Below are 26253 nucleotides of genomic sequence, written 5' to 3'. Positions count from 1 at the left end.
TGGCAAATTAATTCTGTTTTCTAGCATATAAATTGTTCAGTTTATGGTCTTTCTCTCATAGTACTTGTAGTCCTCAAATATCTCATTTTTCTCCTATTCCTTTGGGCTCATCACATCCCCAGATCTCAGCCAGTATCCTTTCATACACACACACACACACACACACGCACAGACACACACATACACACATACACATGCACAACATACACACACACGCACATAAACATACACACATACACATATATACACACATACACATATATACACACATACACATGCACAACATACACGCACATAAACATACACATATACACATACACACACATACACACATATACATATATACACACACATGCACAACATACACACATACACATGCATAAACATACACACATACACACACATATACACATGCATACACATCTACACACATACACATACACATATACACATACACATATACACTTATACACATACACACATACGCATACACACGCAGACACATACACACACAGACACACACACATACACATACAGACACATATACATACACATACACACATACACATACATACACACATACACACGTGCATACACATACATACACACATACACACGTGCATACACATACATACACACACATACACACGTGCATACACATACATACACACACATACACACACACGTGCATACACATACATACACACATGCATACACATACATACACACACACACGTGCATACACATACATACACACATACACACGTGCATACACATACATACACACATACACATACACACGTGCATACGCATGCATACACACATACGTACACATACACATACACATACACATAGACTGGTAAGCCTGCAGTTCATGTAGGGGGATGATTGAAGGGGAAGGGAGAGCTTTGGGTTTTATAATCTGGTCCCTATCACTCCCTGCTTTTAACCCCCCACCTGTCCCCAAGCAAAACTCTGAGCATCTCTCTTCCCAGGTTCTAATCTTTTGATGGTTATTGGCCAACACTGAAATTGTTTCACCCATTGGGCTGGGGAGCAAAAGCAAAAGATGGTTAGGGGACTGCTCTTTCTCTTAGTCTCTTATTATCTTATTCTCCTCTCCTGATGTTTTGCTTCCCCTGGGCTGAAGCTTGTTTGGGACTGTTATTTTATGTACAAAACATGGAAACAAGGTCATCTGTACTGTTATTTTATGTACAAAACATGGAAATCAGTAATCTGCTAATTTTAGTAGGCTAAATCATCCTTGACTCTCCTATGTCACTCTAGTGCCCTGGGTAGGCAATACTTGATGCAAGGTACAGGTGGATGGAAGAGCATATCAATAAAAATCTCATTTAATCTTCTCCAACCTTACAAAATCAATGTTAGCCCAGCTGTATGAGTGAGAAAAGTGTAGGTGAGAGAACATTGCTTAAGATCACTCTTGGCAGAGAGTGATGCAGCAGGGATTTAAACCTAGATAGCTCTGGTTCCAGGAGTTGTGCTTCTTTCACTCTACCACCTGCTCCCCAAAACCTGGTTCTCCAACAGAATCCCATCTCAGCCACGGGAGTCACTCCCTCCTCCATTCCTGAAGGAGAAATCCTGGATTCTTCCTCCATTTCTCCCTCTTCCTCATACCCACACCTATTCAACAATAAAATCCTTTCTATCTAAGCTATCAGTTACAGATCATGAGTCCATTTTCTCCTCACACACCCTTGCCACTGAATTAGTTCATTCCTTTACCATTTCGCCGTGGCCATAGCATCCCAACTCTCTCCTCTTTCTTCCTTCCTTCCTTTCTTTCTTCCTTCCTTCCATCCTTCTTTCCCTCCCTCCCTCCCTCCCTCCCTTCCTTCCTTCCTTCTTTTCTTCCTTCCTTTCTTTTTTTCTTTCTTTCTTTTTTGAGACAGAATCTCTCTCTGTTGCCCAGGCTGCAGTGCAGTGGTGCAATCACAACTCACTGCAGCCTCAACCTCCTGGGCTCCAGTGATTCTCCCACCTCAGCCTCCCAAGTAGCTGAGACTACAGGCATGTGCCACCAGGCCTGGCTAATTTTTTAAATTTTTGTAGAGATGGGGTCTCACTATGTTGCTGAGGCTTTGAGGCTCAGCTTACTTTCAAAGTTTCCCTGTTACCAAAAGTATAATGTTCACGACCTTAGCATGGCACTATCTGAGCACAAACCGCCTCACCAGCTGTGTGTCCCCCACACCCAGTGTTCTAGTCATGCACTAAATTTTTTATTAATCTCCTACCCAAGAGGCCTTCACAACTCCATGATTTTCTACATGCTATTCTTTCTGCATGAAATGAACTTCCTCTTTTCCACTTGACACCACTCTGACTCATTCTTTGAGACTCAATGCAAACATCACCTGTTTCGTAGTTTTTCCTGATATCCCAGGCAACCCTAGATGCCTCTGTATGTAACATGTACCAACAAAAGAGTAAATATCAACTGGAATGTGAATTCCTCAAAAGTAAAGTAGAAATATTATGGGCTTGCTATTCTCCAAATGATCTCCAAAGTGCGGTATGCAATACCTGTTTGGTGTCCATGAAGAGATTCTTAAAACTTTAATTTAAAAACTGTAATTTAGGTCAGGCTTGGTGGCTCACGCCTGTAATCCTAGCAGTTTGGGGAGCCGAGGTGGGCAGATTACCTGAGGTCAGTTGGAGATCAGTTTGGCCAACATGGCAAAACCCCATCTCTGCTAAAAAACACAAAAATTAGCCAGGCGTGGTGATGCACACCTATAGTCCCAGCTACTCGGGAGGCTGAGGCAGGAGAATCGCTTGAACCCAGGAGGTGGAGATTGCAGTGAGCCGAGATTGTGCCACTGCACTCCAGCCTGGGTGGCAGAGTAAGACTCTGTCTCAAAAAACAAACAAACAAATAAACAAAAAATACTGTAATTTGTATATTTCCTCATTGCTATTAATTTTGACTTTTAAATTTTTTATAAAATGAACATAATATGTATTATGTATATAACCCTCAAAAAAGAGACATATGGCCAGGTGCAGTGGCTTATGCCTGTAATCCCAGCACTTTGGGAGGCCGAGGCAGGCAAATCACAAGGTCAGGAGTTCAAGACCAACCAGGCCAACATGGCGAAACCCCATCTCTACCTAAAATACAAAAATTAGCTAAGCATGGTGTCAGGCATCTGTAATCCCATCTACTCGGGAGGCTGAGCAGGAGAATCATTTGAACCCGGGAGGCAGACGTTTCAGTGAGCCGAGATCATGCCACTGCACTCCAGCCCGGCAACAGAACGAGACTCCATCTCAAAAAAACAAAAAGAGAGAGAGAGAGAGAGACATATACAGGGATCCATGCTCACAATATTTTAAAAAAAATTTTTCTGAGATAGGGTGTCATTTTGTCACCGAGGCCGGAGTACAGTGGTACGATCTTAGCTCACTGCAGCCTTGACTTCCTGGGCTCAAGCAATCCTCTCCCCTCAGCCTCGAAAACAGCTGAGAGTACAGACACGTGCCACCACACTTGGCTAATTTTTCTATTTTTAATAGAGACGAGGTTTCACCATGTTGTCCAGGCTGGTCTCAAACGTCTGGACTCAAGCAATCTGTCCACCTTGGCCTCCCAAAGTGCTGGGATTACAGGCGTGAGCCACCATGCCCAGCCCACAATATTTTTTTTTAACTTAAAGGAGTGCACAATAAAATTTTGGCAACTACTAGTCTTGATTTACTTAGTATCACATTACCCAGATGCAGCAGATAAAATGCTTTATCTCCAAATAACCAATACCTAGAACAGTTTTCCATACTTGGCGATGCTCTGTGAACATTAAATGAGTAAATAAGGAGATAAAGAATACAGACTTAATGTGCAGGTTGTCATGGAAGAAACAAAACAGTGTTTTAATTGAAATGGGCTTGAGTTAGAATCCTGCATTTCACATTTCACTGGGTTGTGTCTTTGGGTGAGTCACCCACTTCTTTGAACATCAATTTCCTCATCTGTAAAATGAAAATAATGCAGCAAGGTGGTTGTGAGAATTAAAAGACATAATGAATGCAAGCTGCTTAGCATAATGCCCCTCTGCAGTGAGTACCCAGTAAACTGATGCTTCATTTGCAGTGCTAGATGGCAGTTAGTCCAAACCAGAAGGCCATAGTACTTGATAAGTCTGCTCTCATTTCTACCAAAATCATTTTGTTTTACAGTCATTCAAAGAAAGGGCCTGTGTCCTTAAACATCAGTGAATTACATGGGTAAAATATGGGTGATTTTTAAAGCCAGAGAAAAATTTTAGGAGGTCGTGGTCATTCATGTGCTTCTTCATTCTGCCACGTTGCAAGAAAGGATTGCTAGTTATTCCCAGAATTATTTCAAAACACCTCAGAATAGAAACAAAACAAAGTCACTGTTCTTTAGGGCTTATACTTTTCATGTCCCTGACTGTAATAGGCTGAGCTCACCATGCTGAAAGATGTCATTGCTCCTGAGTGACTTACAGGTGGGAGGGAAGTGGTCCACCTTGTCCAGCCATCAAGGGAGGGGAATGCTCTGTGAGGTCATGATCTTCTAAGACCTGTTAGAGCAAGGGTAGATCCAAAAACTTCACAATATCAGGGAGGCTTGGAAAAAGAAAAATTATATTTGGCTGGCAAATTCCGAATTGAGAAAAGAGCAACTGGGGGACTCATTTAATCAAGTGTTACCCTATGAGGCTCCTGTTGTGGCTGGAATTATATCCCCCCAAAATTCATATATTTAAATCCTAACCCCCATTACCTCAGAATGTGACTATTTGAAGATAAGGCTTTTAAAGAGGTAACTAAGGTAAAATGAGGTTGAAATGATTTGGCTGTGTCCCCACCCACATCTCATCTTGAATTGTAGCTCCCACAGTTCCCATGTTGTGGGAAGGACCCGGTGGGAGGTAATTGAATCATGGGGGCAGGACTTTCCCATACTGTTCTCATGATAGTGAATAAATCTCACAAGATCTGATGGTTTTACAAAGGGGAGTTCCCCTCTACATGGTCTATCTTGCCTGCCGCCATGTAAGACATGCCTTTCTCATCCTTGGCCTTCCACCATGATTGTGAGGGCTCCCCAGCCATGTGGAATTGTGAGTCCATTAAACCTCTTTTTCTTTATAAATTACCCAGTCTCAGGTATGTCTTTATTAGCAGCATGAGAGGTGACAAATACAGAGATCGCCAGGGTGGGCCCTAACATTCTGACCGGTGTCCTTATAAGAAGAGGCGACTAGGACACAGACATACAGAGAGAAGACCATGTAAAGGCAGGGGGAGAAGATGGCCACCTACAAGCCAAGACAAGAGGCCTCAGAAATCAACCCTGGTGATGTCTTAATCTTGGACTTCCAGACTTCAGAACTGTGAGGAAATATATTTCTGTTGTTGAAGCCACCCAGTCTGTGATACTGTGTTACAGCAGCCCTAACAGATTAACACAATTCCTATAGGATTGAATTTTCCCAGGCCCTCCCCAGATTTAATGCGAGGTTGTATTGTGGGGGCCTGGGGCTTCCTAAGAAGATTCCGAGTTGCTTAAGGAATGTTGAGTCCCAATTAGAGTAAGACAGGAAAGACAGGCAAGACCGAAAGGTGAGTGAATTCAGACTACACAGGGAACGAAGGAGTAGGAGCAAGTGAGGGGTGGGTACAGGTCTGCCTCTGTGGACTCTTCCTGAGTTAATGAAGAAACAGCCACACTGAATGCCCTCTGAGCCTCTGATTCACACATCAGTGCTGAATTTAGGTAGCCCCTCTTCTGGGAAGTCCTTCTTGATCCCCCAGTGCAGAAAAGCTTAGGTTTTAAACTTTCCACTTCTGAGGTAGTACCATCTGGGATCTGCTTCCCCATTCTGTCTTCCAAGGGACTGCTCTTGGACACCACACTGGCAGTGGTGTTTATTTATTTATTTATTTATTTATTTATTTATTTATTTAGAGATGGAGTCTCGCTCTGTCACCCAAGCTGGAGTGCAATGGCACAATCTCAGCTCACTGCAACCTCCACCTCCTGGGTTCAAGAGATACTCCTATCTCAGCCTCCCGAGTAGCTGAGACTACAGGCACCTGCCACCATGACTGGCTAATTTTTTTTGTATTTTAGTAGAGACAGGGTTTCATCATGTTGCCCAGGCTGGTCTTGAACTCCTGAGCTCAGGCAATCCGCCTGCCTCGGCCTCCCAAAGTGCTGGGATTACAGGCATGAGCCACCGCACTCGGCTGGCAGTGGTGTTCACAAAAGGCTTTTCAGCCTACTCATAAACTTCTCCCTTCCACGTTCTTTGATTTCGTTAATGGCACCACTCAGAGCAGAAACCTTGGGGTCATGCTTGATTCCTCATTCTCCTTCTTCCTGGAATCACAAGTATTGACCATGTCACCTCAGATTAAAATTTTAAAAACCAAAGTAATGTTGGGAATTCTGAAATTTGAGTAGTTTAAAGGAATGTTGGATGTTCCTTCAGACAAAAAAAAAAAAAGAAAGAAAGAAAAAAAGAAATACATTTTAAATTCTAATACAGTCTACACTTTCACTGTAAGTGCTTTTTCAGAGATGTAAATCTGCTCCTGTGACTTAACCCTCAAGTGGCTTCAGTGACTTTCCTCCCCTGCACCAAGGTTGCAAACTGGTGGCCCTTGGGTCAAATGTGGACCACAGACACATCTTGCTTTGCCTCCACAATGATTAGTTTAAAAAGAAAATGAGGCTAGTCATGATAGCTCATGCCTGTAATCCTACCACTTTGTGGGGCAGAGATGGAAGGATCACTTGAGGCCAAGAGTTCAAAACCAGGCTAGGCAACATAGCAAGACTTCGTCTCTACAGAAAAGAAAAAAAGAGAACTAATTTCTGGCCAATGTTTAAAAATCTTGTTTTTCTTTTCTTTTTTTTTTTTTGAGATGGAGTCTCCCTCTGTCAACCAGGTGGGAGTGCAGTGGCTCGATGTCAACTCACTGCAATCCTTCGCCTCCCAGGTTCAAGTGATGCTCCTGACTCATCCTTCCAAGTAGCTGCGATTACAGGTGTGCACCACCATGCCTAGCTAATTTTTGTATTTTTAGTAGAGATGGGGTTTCGCATGTTGGCCAAGCTGGTCTTGAACTCCTGACCTCAGGTGATCCGCCCACTTCAGCCTTCCAAAGTACTGAGATTACAGGTATGAGCCACCATGCCCAGCCTTTTGTTTTGTTTTGTTTTGTTTTTAAACAGGGTCTTACTCTATCGTCCAGACTGGAGTGCAGTGGCACGATCACCGCTCACTGCAGCCTCGACCTCCTAGGCTCAAGAGATCCTCCTACTTGAGATCCCAGTGCTCCCAAGTAGCTGGGTCTATTAGTGTGCACCACCATATGCAGCAATCTTTTTTAAATTTTTTTGAGGAGACAGGGTTTCCACATGTTGCCCAGGGTGGTCTTGTACTCCTGGGCTTAAGTGATCCTCCCGCCTCAGCCTCCCAAAGTGCTTGGATTATAGGTGTGAGCCAATACACCTGGCCTGTTTAAAAATCTTGACACATCACTCACACACAAGTCCATATTTTTTTCTTTAGAAACTGAAAATCTGACAATATTAGGCCTGTATTCCCACAAGGCCACAGTTGGCCAGAGCTGCCTTTTTTTTTTTTTAATTGTACTTTTTTTTAATATAAAGACAGGGTCTTGCTATGTTGGCCAGGTCGGTCTTGAACTCCCAGCCTCAAGCAATCCCCTGCCTCAGCCTCACAATAAATAATTATTTTTAATGGCAAAAACCATGATTACTTTCGCACCAACCTAACAAGATTACAAGCACGAGCCACCGTGCCCGACCCAGACCTGCCTTTTTAGATGGGACCTGTTTCTCCAGTTTAGGACATCCCCATCATGTCCTACTGTCCAGCCACTGTCCAACTGAGTGTCAGTTGACATTTAGCGTCACTTTTTTTTGTTTTATTTTGAGATAGAGTTTCCCTCTTGTTGCCCAGGCTGGAGTGCAATGGCGCAATTTCGGCTCACTGCAACCTCTGCCTCCTGGGTTCAAGCGATTCTCCTGCCTCAGCCTCCAGAGTAGCTGGAATTGCAGGTGCCCACCACCACACCCAGCTAATTTTCATATTTTTAATAGAGATGGGGTTTCACCATGTTAGCCAGGCTGGTCTCGAACTCCTGACCTCAGGTGATCCACTGCCTCGGCCTCCCAAAGTGCTGGGATTACAGGCGTGGGCCACCATGCCCGGCCTAGCGTCACTTTTGTGGAGTTGTTTTCTTAGAGTTGAGAGGAAAGTGAAATAATCTTACACCTACATTTCCATTAAAATGGGGACAGCAAAAGATAGACTTGAAATGGTAATGTATTAAAAAAAAAGAAAAATACAGATTTCTCTGAGGAGTAAAGACCACTCCAACTTATTAATAAGTACACAAGGTGTGTCCAGTCAATTTAACACCATTTTCTAGTAATCTGCTTGTTTCATTCATTTATCATCTAATCCTGGCCGCTGAAGACTCCTTGAGTTTTTTATCCTGACCTAAAGCATTAAGCCATAATCCCTTAACATGTCACAAAGCACCTTTCACTCTAATCAGCTGTTGTTTTGTTTTGTCTTATCTTGTCTCTAAACCATCACTGATCCCTTTCATTCATTCTAACCAAACAATCACTATGAACTATAGTAATAGTAGCTACAACTATTGAGTGCTTTCTGTCTACTAAAAATGATGCATTTCCCCATGCCGTGTGTTTACTACCCACTAAAGCATCTCACCAGCAGGAGGAGAGGTCTACAAAATCTCATGTGAAGCTTAAGAAAAATGTTCAGGGCTGGGTGCGGTGGCTCATGCCTGTAATCCCAGCACTTTGGGAGGCCGAGGTGGGCAGATTGCCTGAAGTCAGGGGTTCAAGACCAGCCTGGCCAACGTGGTGAAAACCCACCTCTACTAAAAATACAAAAATTAGCCAGGCGTGGTGGCAAGCTCTTGTAATCCCAGCTACTCAGGAGGCTGAGGAGAGAGAATTGTTTGAACCCAGGAGATGGAGGTTGCAGTGAGCCAAGATCGCGCCACTGCACTCCAGCCTGGGCGACAGAGCGAGACTCAGTCTCAAAAAGAAAACAAACAAACAAAAACAACAAAGAAAAATGCTTAATGTACACTTAGAACTTTGTACTTAACAGTTTTCTAAGCTCTTTCTACAATACCTCTAAAAGACATGTTCTGTCCATCCTATGCTATAGTTGAGGGCACTCAGGCCCAGAAGAGTTAAGGAATTACTGAGGTCACATGGTTAGAGAGAGGCTCAGCCAGCAATTGAATTGAAGCTTATCTTAATATCAATGATCTTGACCTCAGTTCCTCTCTAACGTGTTGCTTAGTCCTCAGTGCTCTTCTCTGCCACTATCTGCATTAAACTTTTACCAGTTCTCAGTGACTCAGCTCAAATATGTCCTCCTACATAAAGTCTTCCCCGATTCACCCTCCACTTCTTCAAACGTAACATTCATCCCACAAATATTTTTGAGTTCCTCTGCGAGATAATATATGTAAAGAGCTTAGAGCATAGTAAGGGGAGGGAAAATCAGGTATAATTCCTATTACCTGTTAACACTGTATTGTAATTATTTCACCATGAATGGCACGCAGAGTCTGGAAGGAAAGAAGTGTGATCAAAGAATGCTGGACCTATTCATACTTAGGTCTCAACTACAATAACAGAGAGACGGGCTCTCCAAAACAAAGAGTTTATTGCAAGGAATTGCAATTCATGATACTTGTGCCATGGCAGAGCCATATGGGTCCACCAAAAGAGACTGGGGCAAAGGAAAGCTTTTTTAAAAAAAAAAAGACAAATCCAGGTAATTTGCTTTCAAAGACCATTGGTCACAGGGGCTTGTTGCAGGAGTTGGTATTAACTTATTGATGGATACACCCATTGTTAGGAAAATGTCTTTGTGCAGCAACTTGTTTGCAATGTTGTGGTTTTGAGGAGTTCTTTGGATATCTCTGTCATAGGTATACGTGCATGAGGGCCCTTCCTTTATGGCCTCCTGGCTCCATCTTTTTCGTGTTTTACATAAGTGACTTCATTTAGGTACTGGCAACTTTCACAAAGGACAATAGAAAGTTATTTTGCAAGCTGTATGAAAATAAACCAAAACCTCTTTTAGCAGAGTATCAGAGGGTTTTATCTAGAAATATGGAAGTCTGAATGAATATATTAAAATATTTGAATAGGGTAATGACCTAGAAAAGAGCCTGGAGAGACAATTGAAATTAGAATAGGATAAGAAATGAGCAATAAATAAGAACCCAAGAGAGGGCTAAATAAATAAGTTGTCTTGAGAGGGAGCCTTATAGAAGCAGAGTGTTCTGGAAAATGCCAAGCGCAAAGATTTTGAAATTACAATGAACTCTGTTTTACACTTTTATGAACTGAAGATTTTAAAAAATCTTATTGCTGCTGGGCAAGGTGGCTTATGCCTGTAATCCCAGCACTTTGGGAGGCCGAGGTGGGTGGATCACTGTGGATCACTGATCACAGATGGAGTTCAAGACCAGCCTAGCCAACATGATGAAACCATGTCTTTACTAAAACTACAAAAATTAGCCAGGCACAGTGCCAGGCACCTGTAATCCCAGCTACTCGGGAGGCTGAAGTAGGAGAATTGCTTGAACCCGGGAGGCGGAGGTTGCAGTTAACAGAGATCGCACCACTGCACTCGAGCCTAGGCAACGGAGTGAGATCCTGTGTCAAAAAAAAAAAAAAAAAAAAACTTATTGCATTGGACGTTGTAGGAATTCAGCTACATGCGAGAAGCCATGTGAACGCCTGATTCTTTGCCTGTCATTTGGTAGGCTCATTCACAGTGTTAGTTCCTCCCCACCAACCCTTCTCTCCTAAATGCTGGTATTCAGCCTATTTTATTTATTTATTTTTGGTAATAGTTTTATTGAGATATAATTGACATACAACTCACCCATTTGAAACATACAATTCAATGGTTTTTAAGATATTCACAGAGTTGTCAATATTAGAACATTTCCATCACCTCAAAAAGAAATCACTTACCACTTACCTATGATCCTGACACCCTATGCTTTCTAGCCTTAGGCAATCACAAACCTAATTTCTATCTCTATAGATATGCCTATTCTGGACATTTTATATAGATAGAATCATATAATATTAGGATTTTTGTGACTGGCTTCTTGTATGTAGCATAATGTTTTCAAGGTTCATCCATGCTGTGGTATGTATCAGTAATTCTCTACAAAAAATAAAAAGAAAACTTTGCTTTTTCTGGTCAAATAATATTCCATTGTATGGCTATCTTATATTTTGTTTATTCATTATTTGATAAATATTTTGGGTGCTTCCACCTTTTGACTATTATGAATAATGCTGCTCTGAAAGAACATTCACATACACATTTTTGTTGAATACCTCTTTTCACTTCTCTTGGGTGTATTCCCAATAATAGTGGAATTATTGGGTCAAGCCAGCCTGTTGTTTAAAAATCCCTTCTTCACTATGCAGTCTAGACTGCCATTGTTTGAAAATGCAAAACTTTTCTTGCCCCTCAGAGGCCAAATTCCTCAGTAGCTCCTCATTATCTAAAGAATTAACTCCACATTCCTTAAAATTAAAATGATCCAGAAAAGTCTTCCAGATTTGGCTCCTGGCCCACTGTCTATCTTATTTTCTGCTAATTTGACTCCTACACCCAACACCCAAGAGAAATTGAAATCTCCAAGCACAAGCAAAATCTGTAGCCGGACTTGGAACTGTATGCCCATTTCTGCCTCTTACCATTTTACCTCCCAATTTTCTAAACTATATTATAGAGCTAATAATACCCACCCTAACTTCTGTCCTTGAGCTTCCTCACCTGTACCATCCTTATCTATATTATATGATAATAAAACCTACATTGCAGAGTTGCTGATAAGGTTAAATTAGGCACAGCATATAAAAGGTCTGGTGCATTGTCCATATTCAATAGATATTATTATTATTGTTATTGTTATGCCTCCATATGTTTGCAAGTGCTGTTTTTCCAATTAGAAATTGGAATGCCTTCCCACCTTTTCTGCAAATTAAATTTCTTCAAGTCTCAGCTCGAATGTCACCTACCCTATATCAGAAATTGTGTGTGTGTGTGTTTTGGGTTTTGTTTTTTGTTTTTAATTTAGCGAGACTTACTATGTTCCTGGTGCTAGCCTAAGCACTTTCAAAAATATTAGTTTATTTATTTCTCATGACAACCCTATGGGCTAGGTATTGTTATTGTTTTTATAAATGATAGAAGGATATGTATTTTGCCCAGATCACCCAGCTAGTAAGTGGCAGATGCAGTCTTGTTAGCAGGAAGAACTTATGAGAGGTACCTTTCCTCCATCTTTTAAAAAACATTTTATTTAATAATCTTATGCCATTTAGGCCAGGTGTGGTGGCTCATGCCTGCAATTCCAGCACTTTGGGAGGCTGAGGCAGGAGGATTGCTTGAACTCAGGAGGTAGAAGTTGCAGTGAGCCAAGATTGTGCTGCTGCACTCCAGCCTGGGTGACAGAGCAAGACTCCATCTCAAAAAAAAAAGAGAGTCGTTTCTTGAAGCAGACTACCTGTATCCTCATCTCAAATCCTCTCCTTACCCCAACTCCATGAGCATAGGAAGACGCCCATGCCTTACCCTTTCACTGCTCTTTGTGTGTAAACTGGGACCACTAACAGAACCTAGACCATGAGGCTGTTGTGACACTTAAGTAAGATAATGTATGCAAGGCACTAAACACAATTCTGGGAATAGTAAACTATTGTTTTTGTGGTTGTTCAAAGAAACACTAACAGGAAGTGGAGCCATTCAAATAAAGTCTGGTGCAAAGATCAGCCTTTGCACATACATCTCTGACAAGGGATTTCTGAGCCAGAGACTATTCGTTCTTCAAATCTCACCTCCCCTGGGAGCCTTACCAAAAATTCTCAGCCTGTTGCACACCCCTTCTCTGCCATCAAGTAACCTCCACACAATACACCCTTCAAAGCCCTTGCTTCACTGTGCTGTAATCATTAGATTAACTGTCCATTTCTTCCACTGGCCTATGCGTCTTTGAGAGTATATTCAACATCTCACCCAGTGTCTGGCCTAAATGCATGAATGAATGGGTATATGAATAAATGAGTGAATGAAATGGCAGTGTGAAGGGGAAAGATCATAAAAGTATCATCTTGTTCATCTGGTTTAAGACCAGTTCTAGTAGCGCAAAAAGACTTGTGAGCCAGGTGCAGTGGCTCATGCCTCTAATCTCAGCACTTTGAAGGCCAAGGCAGGAGGATCACTTGAGTCCAGGAGTTCCAGACCAGCCTGGCCAACATGGCGAAACCCCACTTCTACTGAAAATATAAAAATTAACTGGGCATGGTGGTGCATGCCTGCAGTCCCAGCTACTTTGGGAGGCTGAGGCAGGAGAATTGTTTGAACCCAGGAGACAGAGGTTGCAGTGAGCCAAGATCATGCCCCTGCACTCCAGCCTGGGTGACAGAGAGAGACTCGATCTCAAAAGAAAAAAAAAAATTTAGCTGGACATGGTGTCTCATGCCTGTGATCCCACCTACTTGGGAGGCTGAGGTGGGAGGATGGCTTTAATACAGACAGGAGGCAGGGAAATACTGGGTAGAAGAGAGCAGTTCCCCAGCAAAAGTTCCACCCTCAAGCCTGGAAACCTGCAGCCCTAAATGGGAACAGGCATTCCTGTTTTCACGCCCAAATGTTGCCTTTTCAGAGACCACTCTCACCTGTCACACCCCTATCCTGTGCCCATATAAACCCAAGATCCACTGGTAGAGCAGCAGGGCCATGCAGAAGAGAAGAGAAGAGGAGAGAAGAGAAGAGAAGAAGCAACTAAATGTTGAGAGGAGTTCAGCTGGGGACAGTCGGAGAGATCAGTTGTGGGAGGGCCAAACTCCAGGGAAGAATATTTTCCCACTCCATCCCCTGTCTGCTGAGGGCCACCTCCATCACTCAATAAAATCCCTGCATTCACCATCCTTTAAGTCTATGTAACCTGATTCTTCCTGGACACCGGACAAGAACCCAGGTACCAAGAGGGCAGGGTGTAAAAGGCTGTCACCCTGACTCTCCTCTGATCTGGTTAACATTTAGCCATCCACAGACAGCAAAGCTAAAAGAGCATTTTAACACTCCTAGACAGTGCTGTGAGGCCAGAGCCCAAAAGCACTTGCCCCGGCTCACCTGCATGCTACCGCTCCCATAAGGGGTTTGAGTGCACAGCAGCGAGTAAATGAGCCATCCCCTTCACAAGGGTCCTGTGAAGGGATCAAAGGAATTCTCCCATCTCAGCTTGAGCCTAGGTTGTTGAGGCTGCAGTGAGCCATGATCATGCCACTGCACTCCAGCTTGTGTGACAGCATGAGACCCTGTCTCTAAAAAAAAGAAGAAAAAAAAAAGACATGTGAATCTTCATGTATTCTGCATTACCAGCCTTGTAGTTTGTAAAAGGCAGTTGTCCAAAGAAGAACCATGAAGAGTTTAAACCTAATAGCTATGGATACACGTGGCAAAACTTCACTTAAGAAATAAGGTCACATTTTTGTTTCCCACACTACACATTTTTAAAAAGCAATAACAATGCAGGGGAAATTTATGTAATATAATACAAGTTGTCATTTCACAATATCAGCCATTTCACATCACACACCTCTATTTGTGATTAAATTAATCTATTTTTCTTCTCTCTCTCAACATGGCAGATCTTTGATGGAAAGGTCTAGGAAGTGGTTGTGGTTAAACTAAAGGAGAAGATAGAGTAACAGAAAAAGAGAGAGAGAGAGAGGCAAACCAAAATGTTCCCTCAGGAACCTGAGGCTATCCCTGTCTGCAGCTCAGGCTTAGGCAATTATATGGTTTGGCTGGGTCCCCACCAAAATCTTAACTTGAATTGTATCTTCCAGATCTCCCATGTGTTGTGGGAGAGACCCAGGGGGAGGTAATTGAATCATGGAGGCCAGTCTTTCCCATGCTATTCTCATGATAGTGAATAAGTCTCATGAGATCTGATGGGTTTATCAGGGATTTCCACTTTTGCTTCTTCCTCATTTTCTCTTGCTGCTGCCATGTAAGAAGAGCCTTTCGCCTCCTGCCATGATTCTGAGGCCTCCCCAGCCATGTGCAACTGTAAGTCCAGTTAAACCTTTTTTTTGTTCCCAGCTTCAGGTGTGTCCTTAGCAGCAGCATGAAAACAAACTAATACAGCAAATTGGTACCAGGAGTGGGGCATTGCTGAAAAGATACCTGAAAATGTGGAAGCAACTTTGGAACTGGATAACAGGCAGAGATTGGAACAGTTTGCAAGGCTCAGAAGAAGAAAGGAAAATGTGGGAAGTTCCTTGAGACTTGTTGAATGGCTTTGCCCAAAATGCTGATAGCTATATGGACAATAAGGTCCAGGCTGAGATCTCAGATGCAGATGAGGAGCTTGTTGGCAACTGGAGTAAAAGTGACTCTTGTTATGTTTTAGCAAAGAGACTGGTAGCATTTTGCCCCTGCCCTAGAGATTTGTGGAACTTTGAACTTGAGAGAGATGATTTAGGGTATCTGATGGAAGAAATTTCTAAGCAGCAAAGCATTCAAGATGTAATTTGGGTGCTGTTAAAGGCATTCAGTTTTATCAGGGAAGCAGAGCATAAAAGTTTGGAAAATTTGCAGCATGACTCTGTGATAGCAAAGAAAACCCCATTTTCTGGGGAGAAATTCAAGCCAGCTGCAGAAATTTGCATAAGTAGCAAGTAGCCTAATGTCAATCCCCAAGACCATGGGGAAAATGTCTCCAGGCCATGTCAGAGAACTTCCTGGCAGCCCCTCCCATCACAGACCTGGAGGTTCAGGAGGAAAAGTGGTTTCATGGGCTGGGACCAGAGTCCCCATGCTGTGTGCAGCCTAGGAACTTGATGCCCTGTACCCAGCCACTCCAGCTATGGCTGAAAAAGGCCAACATATAGCTTGGGCTGTGGCTTCAGAGGGTGGAAGCACCAAGGCCTGGCAGTGTCCATGTGGTGTTGAGTGTGCAGGTGCACAGAAGTCAAGAATTCAGGTTTGGGAGCCTCCACCTAGATTTCAGAAGATGTATGGAAATACCTGGATGCCCAGGCATAAGTTTGCTGCAGGGGCAGAGCCCTCATGAAGAACCTCTGCTAGGGCAGTGTGGAAGGGAAATGTGGGGTTGGAGCCCCCACAAAGAGTCCCTACTGGGCACCACCTAGTAGAGCTATGACAAGAGGGCCTCCATCCTCCAGACCCCAGAATGGCAGATTCACTGACAGCTTGCACTGTGTGCCTAGAAAAGCTGCAGAGACTCAACGACAGCCCATAAAAGCAGCTGGGAGGGAAGCTCTACCCTGCAAAGCCACAGGGGCAGAACTGCCCAAGACCATGGGAACCCACCTCTTGAATCAACGTGACCTGGATGTGAGACCTGGAGTCGAAGGAGATCATCTTGGAGCTTTAAAATTTGACTGCCTCGCTGGATTTTAGACTTTCATGGGCCCTGTAACCCCTTTGTTTTGGCCAATTTCTCCCATTTGGAATGGCTGTATTTACCCCATACCTGTACCCCCATTGTATCTAGGAAGTAACTAGCTTGCTTTTGATTTTACAGGCTCATAGACTGAAGGGACTTGCCTTGTCTCAGATGAGACTTTGGACTGTGGGCATTTGGGTTAATGCTGAAATGAGTTAAGACTGGAGGACTGTTGGGAAGGCATCATTGGTTTAGAAATGTGAGGACATGAGATTTGGGGGAGCCAGGGGAGAAATGATATGGTTTGGCTCTATCACCTCCGAAATCTCAACCTGAATTGTATCTCCCAGAATTCCCACGTGTGTAGGAGGGACCCTGGAGCAGGTAATTGAATGATGGCGGCCAGTCTGTCCCATGCTATTCTTGTGATAGTGAATAAGTCTCACAAGATCTGATGGGTTTATCAGGGGTTCCCACTTTTGCTTCTTCCTCATTTTCTTTTGCTGCTGCCATGTAGGAAGAGCTTTTCACCTCCCACCATGATTTTGAGGCCTCCCCCAGCTGTGTGGAACTGTAAGTCCAATTAAACCTTTTTTTGTTCCCAGTTTTGGGTATGTCTTTATCAGCAGCATGAAAATAAACTAATACGGGACAGTTCTGGCTGCTACTCCATGGAATCTGCTAGACCCTCTTTCACTCTTTCTGACATTGGTAGTGAAAGGACTTTTCCAGCCACCTAGAGATTTATGACAATAACTTCATATTCAGGTGCACTGGAGAGAGAATTTTAGGAGGAGTTGAAGGTATAGCTCTTAACTGGCAGTTCAGAATTTGATGACACATATTTTAAAGAAGTCTCTTTTGCATTTGGCAACAACATGTGTCTTTTGTTGCGTCTCACAGTTGAGAATTCTTTGACCTTCACTTTTTCTGTAATCTCCACACCTTATCCCTCCTCCATTAGCAAAGCTCTCCCAAGTCTAAGAAACCCTGAGTGATCCCAAGAGAAACAATGGAATGCCTTTAGGTGACTTGAAAAAGAGGGAATCATTTAACTTAACTTCCAGCTCCTCAGAGACATAGACAGGCTATTAGAAATAAGTACCAAGTGAATAATGGCTCTATGTCTAAATAGAAATGAACTGCCTATCATCTATGGATCACCAGGGTCAGACCATCTTGTGCTTCTCGCTGAAGAATAGCCCTGAAGATAGTGAAAGTTCATTGAATTGGTTTATGATGTAACCCTAAGGAATATTTTGATTGGGTCTGCTTGGGTCTTGTGCCCACCTCTAGAACAATAACTGGGTTCAGGGATGGGGTGCTTAGATTGCCCCACCTGGGTCAAATGCCCACTCCATACCTGTGGTTAAGGAGAAGAGAGAGAGAAAGACAGAGAGAAAGAAAGGCAGCCCCATGACTGGTAGGGTATACTTGCAATAAAGGGGTTTCCCACATTTCCCCAAAGGAGCAGTGGGATGCAGTTGAAACTGTCCCTATGAACTTTATAAATTAGTCAGGGAAAAAGGGAAGGAGAGAAAGGAAAGTAAACTCAGCTTGCAGCATACTCAGCATTAATCATGAGGCAGCTCACTCTGTGACCCGCTTCCTCGTAGCTGTTTGCTGCCAGTTGCCTCAGAATCACAGACCATCACAAGATTATAGCTCCCCCAACTGCTATACGGGTAACAAATTGAACGTTACAAAATACTAAGTTTTCCAGGCCGGGTGCGGTGGCTCATGCCTATAATCCCAGCACTTTGGGAGGCCAAGGCAGGAGCATCACAAGGTCAGGAGTTCAAGACCAGCCTGGCCAATATGGTGAAACCCCATCTCTACTGAAAATACAAAAATTAGCCAGGTGTGGTGGCGGGCACCTGTAGTCCCAGCTACTTGGGAGGCTGAGGCAGGAGAATCATTTGAACCTGGGAGGTGGAGGTTGCAGTGAGCCAAGATCGTGCCACTGCACTCCAGCCTAGGAGACAAAGGGACACTCTGTCTCAAAAATAAAAACGAAAAAAAAAAAGAAAAAAGAAAAAAATATTAAGTTTTCCAATTGAGATATTCTTTCAGGTCCTACATACTGATATAACTGCTGACGTCAACTGGTGTGAGGGACCCCACAAAGACCTGACTCACCAAAGAATGCAGTTTTGATATCCTGATTATTTCATCCCTCTTATCCCAACCAATCAATGACCCCAATTCTCCAACCCTTCGCCCTCTACGATCCCCTTAAAAACTCCAGCCCAGAACTCCTCGGGGAGATACATGTGAGGATCCCCTCCCATCTCCTTGCTCGGTGACTTGTGATCATTAAATTCTATTTTTTGCTGCAACCCCTGCTGTCTCAGTGTACTGGTGTGTCCTGCACAGTGGGCATATGAACCCGTTGGTCCTATAACACAGTTACCAGAAGAGGAAAGGCAAAAACAACAAATGTCCACTTTGATATAGCAAGAAATAAGATTATAAGCTCTGCTTTTCCATTTTTTTTTTCCCTACTGATGTTGCAAACTAAATCCCTTATGTCACTAATTTGCTTATCTCCCCATATCTCTTCTTTTGCTTTGGAAAATTTTTCTTTCACTGTCATTTCAAGTCTCCTCTCAAACCCTAACATTTAATCTAAATCTCTTTACATCTAATCTCTTGCCTGTTATTTTATCTCCAGTAATCCCATTTTTTTTTCTTCCTCCACATCCTGAGTGAAACTCCAATTTTGAAAACTCAAAGTGATGAGAAAGTGGCCTCAAATACATGACAGTTTATAAATCATCAGACTTTATAACAGATATCTCTTCCAAAGCTCTTTCTCAAGATACTTAAGTAAGTATAAGAGATCTCCACATAACCTAATTGAGAAAGACTCTGGCTAGTTGACCTGGCTGAGAAGAATCTACTGCCTGAGAGCCTATCACACTCAAAGAACATGAACCAGAGATGGTCAGGCTGGGGGTGGCATGCAGTTTGTAAAGTAGCCAGTTTGTCAAAGTTCTCTTTTCCCTTTCTCATTTGCCTGCTTAGAGCCATAAAACTTTCTCAGCACCATAAGACAGAGCAAAAAATTAAAAGAAAAAAAAACGATAAAACTTTCAAGCTGGAGGAGACTTTACTGACTATATTATCCAATCTCTTCATTTCATAATAGGGAAACTGAGGCCCAGAAAGGTGAAGGGATTTGTCCAAGTGTGACAGTTAATTTTATATTTCAATTTAACTTGGCTACAGGATGCCCAGATAAGGTTAAACATTATTTCTAGCTGTATCTGTGAGGTGTTTCTGGAAGAGACTAGCATTTGAATTGGTGAACTGAGTAAAGTAGATGGCCTCCTGCCATGTAGGTGGACATCATCCAATCCATTAAGGGGCCAAGTAGAACAAAAAAGTGAAATTCACTCTCTGTCTGGATGCTTGTGTTAGAAAATTGATTTTCTCCCACCATTGGCATCCTTGGCTCTCAGGCCTTCAGACCAAGACTGAATTTGCTGAATTTACCCCGTTAGCTCTCTATTTCTTTTTTTTTTTTTTTTTTTTTTTGAGACAGAGTCTTGCTTTGTCACCCAGGATGGAGTGCTGGAGTGCAGTGGTGCAATCTTGGCTCACCGCAACCTCCGCCTCCCGAGTTCAAGCGATTCTCCTGCCTCAGCCTCCCGAGTAGCTGGGACTACAGGCGCATGTCACCACGCCTGGTTAATTCTTGAATTTTTAGTACAGACAGTTTCACTATGTTGGCCAGGCTGGTCTTGAACTCTTGACCTCAGTTAATCCATCTGCCTTGGCCTCCCAGAGTGCTGGGAGGTGTAAGTTACCACACCTGGCCAACTCTCTAGATCTTGGGCCTTCAAACTACACCACTGTCTTTCCTGGGTCTCCAGCTTGTAGATGGTAGATCATGGGGCCTCTCAGTCTCTACCATCATGTAAGCCAATACCTTACAATAAATCTCTCTCTCTCTCTCTTTTTTTTTTTTTTTTTGAGACACAGTTTCACTCTGTCGCCCAGGCTGGAGTGCAATGGCACAATCTCGGCTCACTGCAGCCCTCTGCCTCCCAAGCTCAAGCAATTCTCATGCCTCAGCCTCCCCAGTAGCTGAGATTACAGGCACATGCCACCATGCCCAGCTAATTTTTGTATTTTTAGCAGAGACGGGGTTTCACCACGTCGGCCAGGCTGGTCTTGAACTCCTGACCTCAGGTGATCCACCTGCCTCGGCCGCCCAAAGTGCTGGAATTACAGGTGTGAGCCACCACGCCTGGCATGAATCTCTTTATATATCACACTGGTTCTCTTTCTCTGGAGAACCCCAACTAATATACCAGGATTCCCCAGCAAGTTAATGGCAGGACTGGGAAAGAACTCAGGCCTTCTGACAGGAGGCCTAGTACTCTTTCCACTGCCACACTTTTCTTTTTCAAGGTATTTGTCTTCTGGGACTAGTGTGGTGGCTCACGTCTGTAATCCCAGCAATTTAGGAGGCTTAGATGGGTGGATTGCTTGACCCCAGGAGTTCGACACCAGCCTGGGCAACATGATGAAACCCAGCCTCTACAAAAAAAAAAAAAAAAAAAAAAAAAAAAAAGGCAAAAATTAGCTGGGCATGGTGGTGCATGCCTGTAGTCCCAGCTACTCAGGAGGCTGACGTGGGAGAATTGCTTGGGCCCAGAAGGTGGAGGTTGCAGTGAGCTGAGATTGCACCACCGCACTCCAGTCTGGGTGACAGAGCAGCACACTGTCTCAACAACAATAAAAAGATATTCGTCTTCTAACAGGCAGCTATAATGACTCCTTCCAAGTCTTGCTTTGTATGCATTTGAGACTAGTAAGCCTTCTTCACTCCGTCCTTCTCTTCCTTCTTTCCCTTCTTCCATTCGTTTTCTACCTTGTTATATATAAAGTATAAAATTCAACAAAATAATTAATACAAGATAGGAAGGACCGAGGTGGGAAGATAACTTGAGGTCAGGAGTTTGGGGCTGCAGTAAGCCACGATTGTGCCAGCGCACTCCAGCCTGGGTGACAGAGTGAGAACCCAACTCAAAAAATTAACTAATTAAAAAATAAGGTAACAGTATAAGAAGAAGGGCAATGAGGTTAAAAATATGTATTATATAAAGGTAAACACTTGCCACAAGGACAAGTCACAGATTTGCCTCCAAGTTCTAACAATGAAGATGTGGATCAGTTTCCTTCCTTCTTTCCTTTCTCTTTCTTTGTTTCTTTCCTTTTTCCTCTCTCTCTTTATTTTTTTCTTCTCTGTCCTTCCTTTCTTTTGACAAAATCCACTTTGTCACCAAGGCTGGAGTGCAGTGGCACAATCATGGTTCACTGCAGCCTTGACCTCCCGGGCTCAAGCAATCCTCCCACCTCAGCCTCCCACCTAAGCCTGAGTGGGACTACCGGCTTGCGCCACCACACCCAGCTAATTTTTTTTTTTTTTTTTGAGATGGTGTCTCGCTCTGTCGTCCAGGCTGGAGTGCAGTGGCGCGATCTCCGCTCACTGCAAGCTCCGCCTCCCGGGTTCATGCCGTTCTCCTGCCTCAGCCTCCTGAGTAGCTGGGACTACAGACGCCCACCACCATGCCCGGCTAATTTTTTGTATTTTTAGTAGAGACGGGGTTTCACCGTGTTAGCCAAGATGGTCTCGATCTCCTGACCTCGTGATCTGCCTGCCTCGGCCTCCCAAAGTGCTGGGATTACAGGCGTGAGCCACTGCGCCTGGCCTAATTTTTTTTTCTTTGTAGAGATGGGATCTCCCTGTGTTACCCAGGCTGACGGCATTCTTTATAATAGATCAATTACTCAAGATGACACAATTCTTCTTAATACTGAAACAAGATGGAAAGAATCTTCAGAAGTTCGATATAATAAAAAATATTTGAGGCTTTTTTTTTTCCATTTAAATTACCTGGCCTGGAACAGGCTGAAAAGATAGTCCTTAGGAGTTAATTGGTGTTCACTGTTATAAGCTCACATTACAAGGTGTTAAAATGGCCTCCTAAACCTTACACAACAGTCAACTCTCTGCTCATCTGAAGCCCCAGTCATGGTCTCTCTCTGATGCCTCTGATGGTGAAGGCTGGATCACGGTTGGAAAAGGCAGCCCACTGGGGCCCATGCCTTTCTTGAGGCCTCATCTATAGTTTGGACCCAACATATCAGAGGGATAGCAAAAGAGGGCCTGCGTATTTCTTTGTAATTCAAGTATCAAATTTTAAAAGTGGGTTCATTCATCATTAGATATTTTCCATGCATCTTTTCTTTTCTATTAACATAAATAAGGAGTAAATGCAACTTCCCAACAGTCAGTTCATTAAAACACATATACATAAGTAGAGAACAAAAGAGATCTCAGTAATTAAAATAAAAGTAGCATCTAGGTTTCCCTTCATATGCGCATTGCCCAGTTGTCCTCTAGGGGCACTAAGGTCTTAAAAGCAACAAGGGGAAATCTGCTTTCATAATCAAATAGAGTTCTTCAGGTTTTCATACGTAGTGCAAACAAATCTTTGTACTATTGAATACTTTTGCGTATCGAATGTGTATAGAGAAAGTATATTGGAATACATCAGAAATAAAGAAAGCACAAGAAAGATAGAAGCTCATGATCTAGTCCATCTCCTTTCCCAGAGAGGCCCTGAGTCCCCAGGGGCCAAGACAAAGTAATTCCCTCGACCTCAATTGCTCTGTGTCTCTCACTATCTTTATTTATTTATTTATTTATTTATTTATTTATTTATTTATTTATTTTGAGGCGGAGTTTCACTCTTGTTGCGCAGGCTAGAGTGCAATGGTGCGATCTCGGCTCACGGCAACCTCCGCCTCCCAAGTTCAAACAATTTTCCTTCCTCAGCTTCCCGAGTAGCTGGGATTACAGGCATGCCTCACCATGCCTGGCTAATTTTTTTTGTATTTTTAGTAGAGACAGGGTTTCACCATGTTGGCCAGGCTGGCCTCGAACTCCTGACCTCAGGTGATCCACCCGCCTCAACCTCCCAAAGTGCTGGGATTACAGGTGTGAGCCACCACGCCTGCTCCTGTCACTCACTATCAAAGTGAAATTCTTAACTTGGCCAGGCACGGTGGCTCATGCCTATAATCCCAACACTTCAGGAGGCCGAGGCGGGTGGATCACCTGAGGTCAGGAGTTCAAAACTAGCCTGGCCAACATGGTGAAACCCCATCTCTACTAAAAATATGAAAATTAGCTGGGCTGAGGCAAGAGAATTGCTTGAACCTGGGAGGTGGAGTTTGCAGTGAGGCAAGATCATGCCACTCCACTGCAGCCTGAGAGACAGAGTGAAACTCCATCTAAAAAAAAAAAGAGGCTAGGCATGGTGCCTCACGCCTGTAATCCCAGCACTTTGGGAGGCTGAGGCGGGCAGATCACCTGAGGTCGGGAGTTCAAGACCCTGACAAACATGGAAAAATACCATCTCTACTAAAAATACAAAATTAGCCAGGTGTGGTGGCACATGCCTGTAATCCCAGCCACTCGGGAGACTGAAGCAGGAGAATCACTTGAACCCAGGAGGCAGAGGTTGTGGTGAGCCGAGATCGCACCATTGCACTCCAGCCTGAGCAAAACTCCATCTCAGAAAAAAAAAAAAAAAAAGAAAGAAAGAAATTTTTAACTCACAAACTTCAGGTTTCTGGCAGAAACTGTTTTCAGTGTTGAAAGCACTTGCTTACAGTGTTGTGAAAACTCCAGGGTAAAACTGGACTTTTTTTTTTTTCTTTTTTTTTTTAAGACGGAGTCTCACTCTGTTGCCCAGGCTGGAGTGCAATGACATGATCTCGGCTCACTGCAACCTCTGCCTCCCGGGTTCAAGCGATTCTCCTGCCTCAGACTCCCGAGTAGCTGGAATTACAGGCGTGCACCACCACGCCCATCTAATTTTTGTATTTTTAGTAGAGACAGGGTTTCACCATGTTGGCCAGGATGGTCTCGATCTCCTGACCTCATGATCTGCCCACCTCAGCCTCCCAAAGTGCTGGGATTACAGGCGTAAGCCACTGTGCCCGGCTAAAAACTGGACTTGTAAGTGCCTATCACATTTCCTTCTTATACTTTTTAAAAATCCAATTTGGTCCTCTTAACTGTTGTACTCATGGTTCTTTTAGTTAAACTTTTGTAGGTATCTACCTTGGGATGTAAGTCTCTTTTTATGTAATTATTTGTACTCCTCTAATTTATAAAATATTTAGTATCTTTTATATGTACCTCAAATTCCTCCAAGATCAATAAGGAATGTTTGTTGATACAATACATTTTATGGGACAGGTTTATTTGTATCCCCCTAGTAATTCATCATAGGAATATGGTATTTAGGGCCGAGGTTCATATTCCTTGAGAATTTATCAACTATGGCAGGTATTAACCAACTTAATAGATGATGATTTAATTTAATCCTCACAGCAATCTTGTGAAGTTTGTACCATTATCATTCCCACTTTCTATATTTAAAAAGAAAGTAAGAAAGAAACAAAGGAAACATGTTTTAAAGAATGTAAGCAACTTGCCCAAAGTCAGAATTAGTGGATGGAATTGTAACCCAGATATATTTTTCTTCCTAGAAATTGTGATGTTCAGAGAGGTCTAAAGTGAAATAGTCAGGAAATGAATATTGATTTTTCTCTTCTGAGGCAGTTACTAGTTTCTGGATTAATTTTTTATTTGCAAAAATTAAGAACACACCAAAAAAGCCTTTCCTTTTTACAAAACACAATGGTGTCAGACTTAAATTTTTTTCTGCAATTAGGTGGACAGCAAAGTTCAGTAGGGGGAAAAAATCAGATGCGATTCCTGTATTGACAACCTCTGTAGGTAGGACCAGAATGAAAGTGCAACATGTAACTGTATTTGGAGTAGTATTTCTGACCAGGCACTGTGACTCATGCCTGTAATCCAGCATTTTGGGAGGCTGAGGCATGTGGATCCCAAGGTCAGGAGTTCGAGACAAGCCTGGCCAATATGGTGAAACCCCGTTTCTGCTTAAAAATACAAAAAAATTAGCCAGATGTGGTGGCACACGCCTGTAATCCCAGCTACTCGGGAGCCTGAGGCAGGAGAATTGCTTGAACCCGGGAGGCAGAGGTTGCAGTGAACCGAGATCGTGCCATTGCACTCCAGCCTGGGCGACAGAGTGAGATTTCATCTCAAAAAAAAAAAAAAAAAAAAAAGAGTAGTATTCCCTTTCCAGTTGTGCCCTTTGCTCAGACTTAATGTCAGCTTGCGGGCACCAAAGAAGATACATGAAGAAATTATGACTCAGATCCCTGTATCTCCCGTGGGGTAAATACAGGTCAACTAGTTAGGAAGCAAGAAAAAATAAATCCACCCATTTGAGGTTTGTTTTTCAGTTTAGAAATCTCTAGAACTGTGGAAATAGCTATGTAATCCTGGGGTGATGTGGGGGTTTGGATCAGAACTCCCAGGTGCAAGCTAAGTAGGTACCTGAGTCCTATTCTCTTAGGAAACAGGGATCAGGTATTCTTTAGATATCTGGACCAATAGATGCCCTACATACTGTAGATAACTAATAAAGCCTGGCTCTGTGTTGATTATGTTGGCCAAGGATTGCTAAATTTACATCAGGACTTCCCATACTGGTCCATGGACTTAGTGATTCTGAGTTTACTGCAACAGGTCCTTAGCTTGCCGTAGGCTGAAAGAGTAATATGCGTCATAAATATATGCACAGTTATCTTTTTTTT

General features: G+C 43.1%; 1 annotated feature.

Moving 5' to 3' along the window:
* Nucleotides 22852-23146: a silencer, noted in NCBI's record as "tiled region #7468; HepG2 Repressive non-DNase unmatched - State 4:PromP". NCBI's record gives its function as "represses a minimal TATA promoter and a strong SV40 promoter by Sharpr-MPRA in HepG2 cells {active_cell/tissue: HepG2}" and the evidence as "EXISTENCE:reporter gene assay evidence [ECO:0000049][PMID:27701403]".

Source organism: Homo sapiens, chromosome 4 (genome assembly GCF_000001405.40).
Source record: "Homo sapiens chromosome 4, GRCh38.p14 Primary Assembly".
In the NCBI taxonomy this organism is placed as follows: domain Eukaryota; kingdom Metazoa; phylum Chordata; class Mammalia; order Primates; family Hominidae; genus Homo; species Homo sapiens.
Note: the sequence above shows the minus strand (reverse complement) of the source record. Positions and strands in the feature narration are given on the sequence as shown.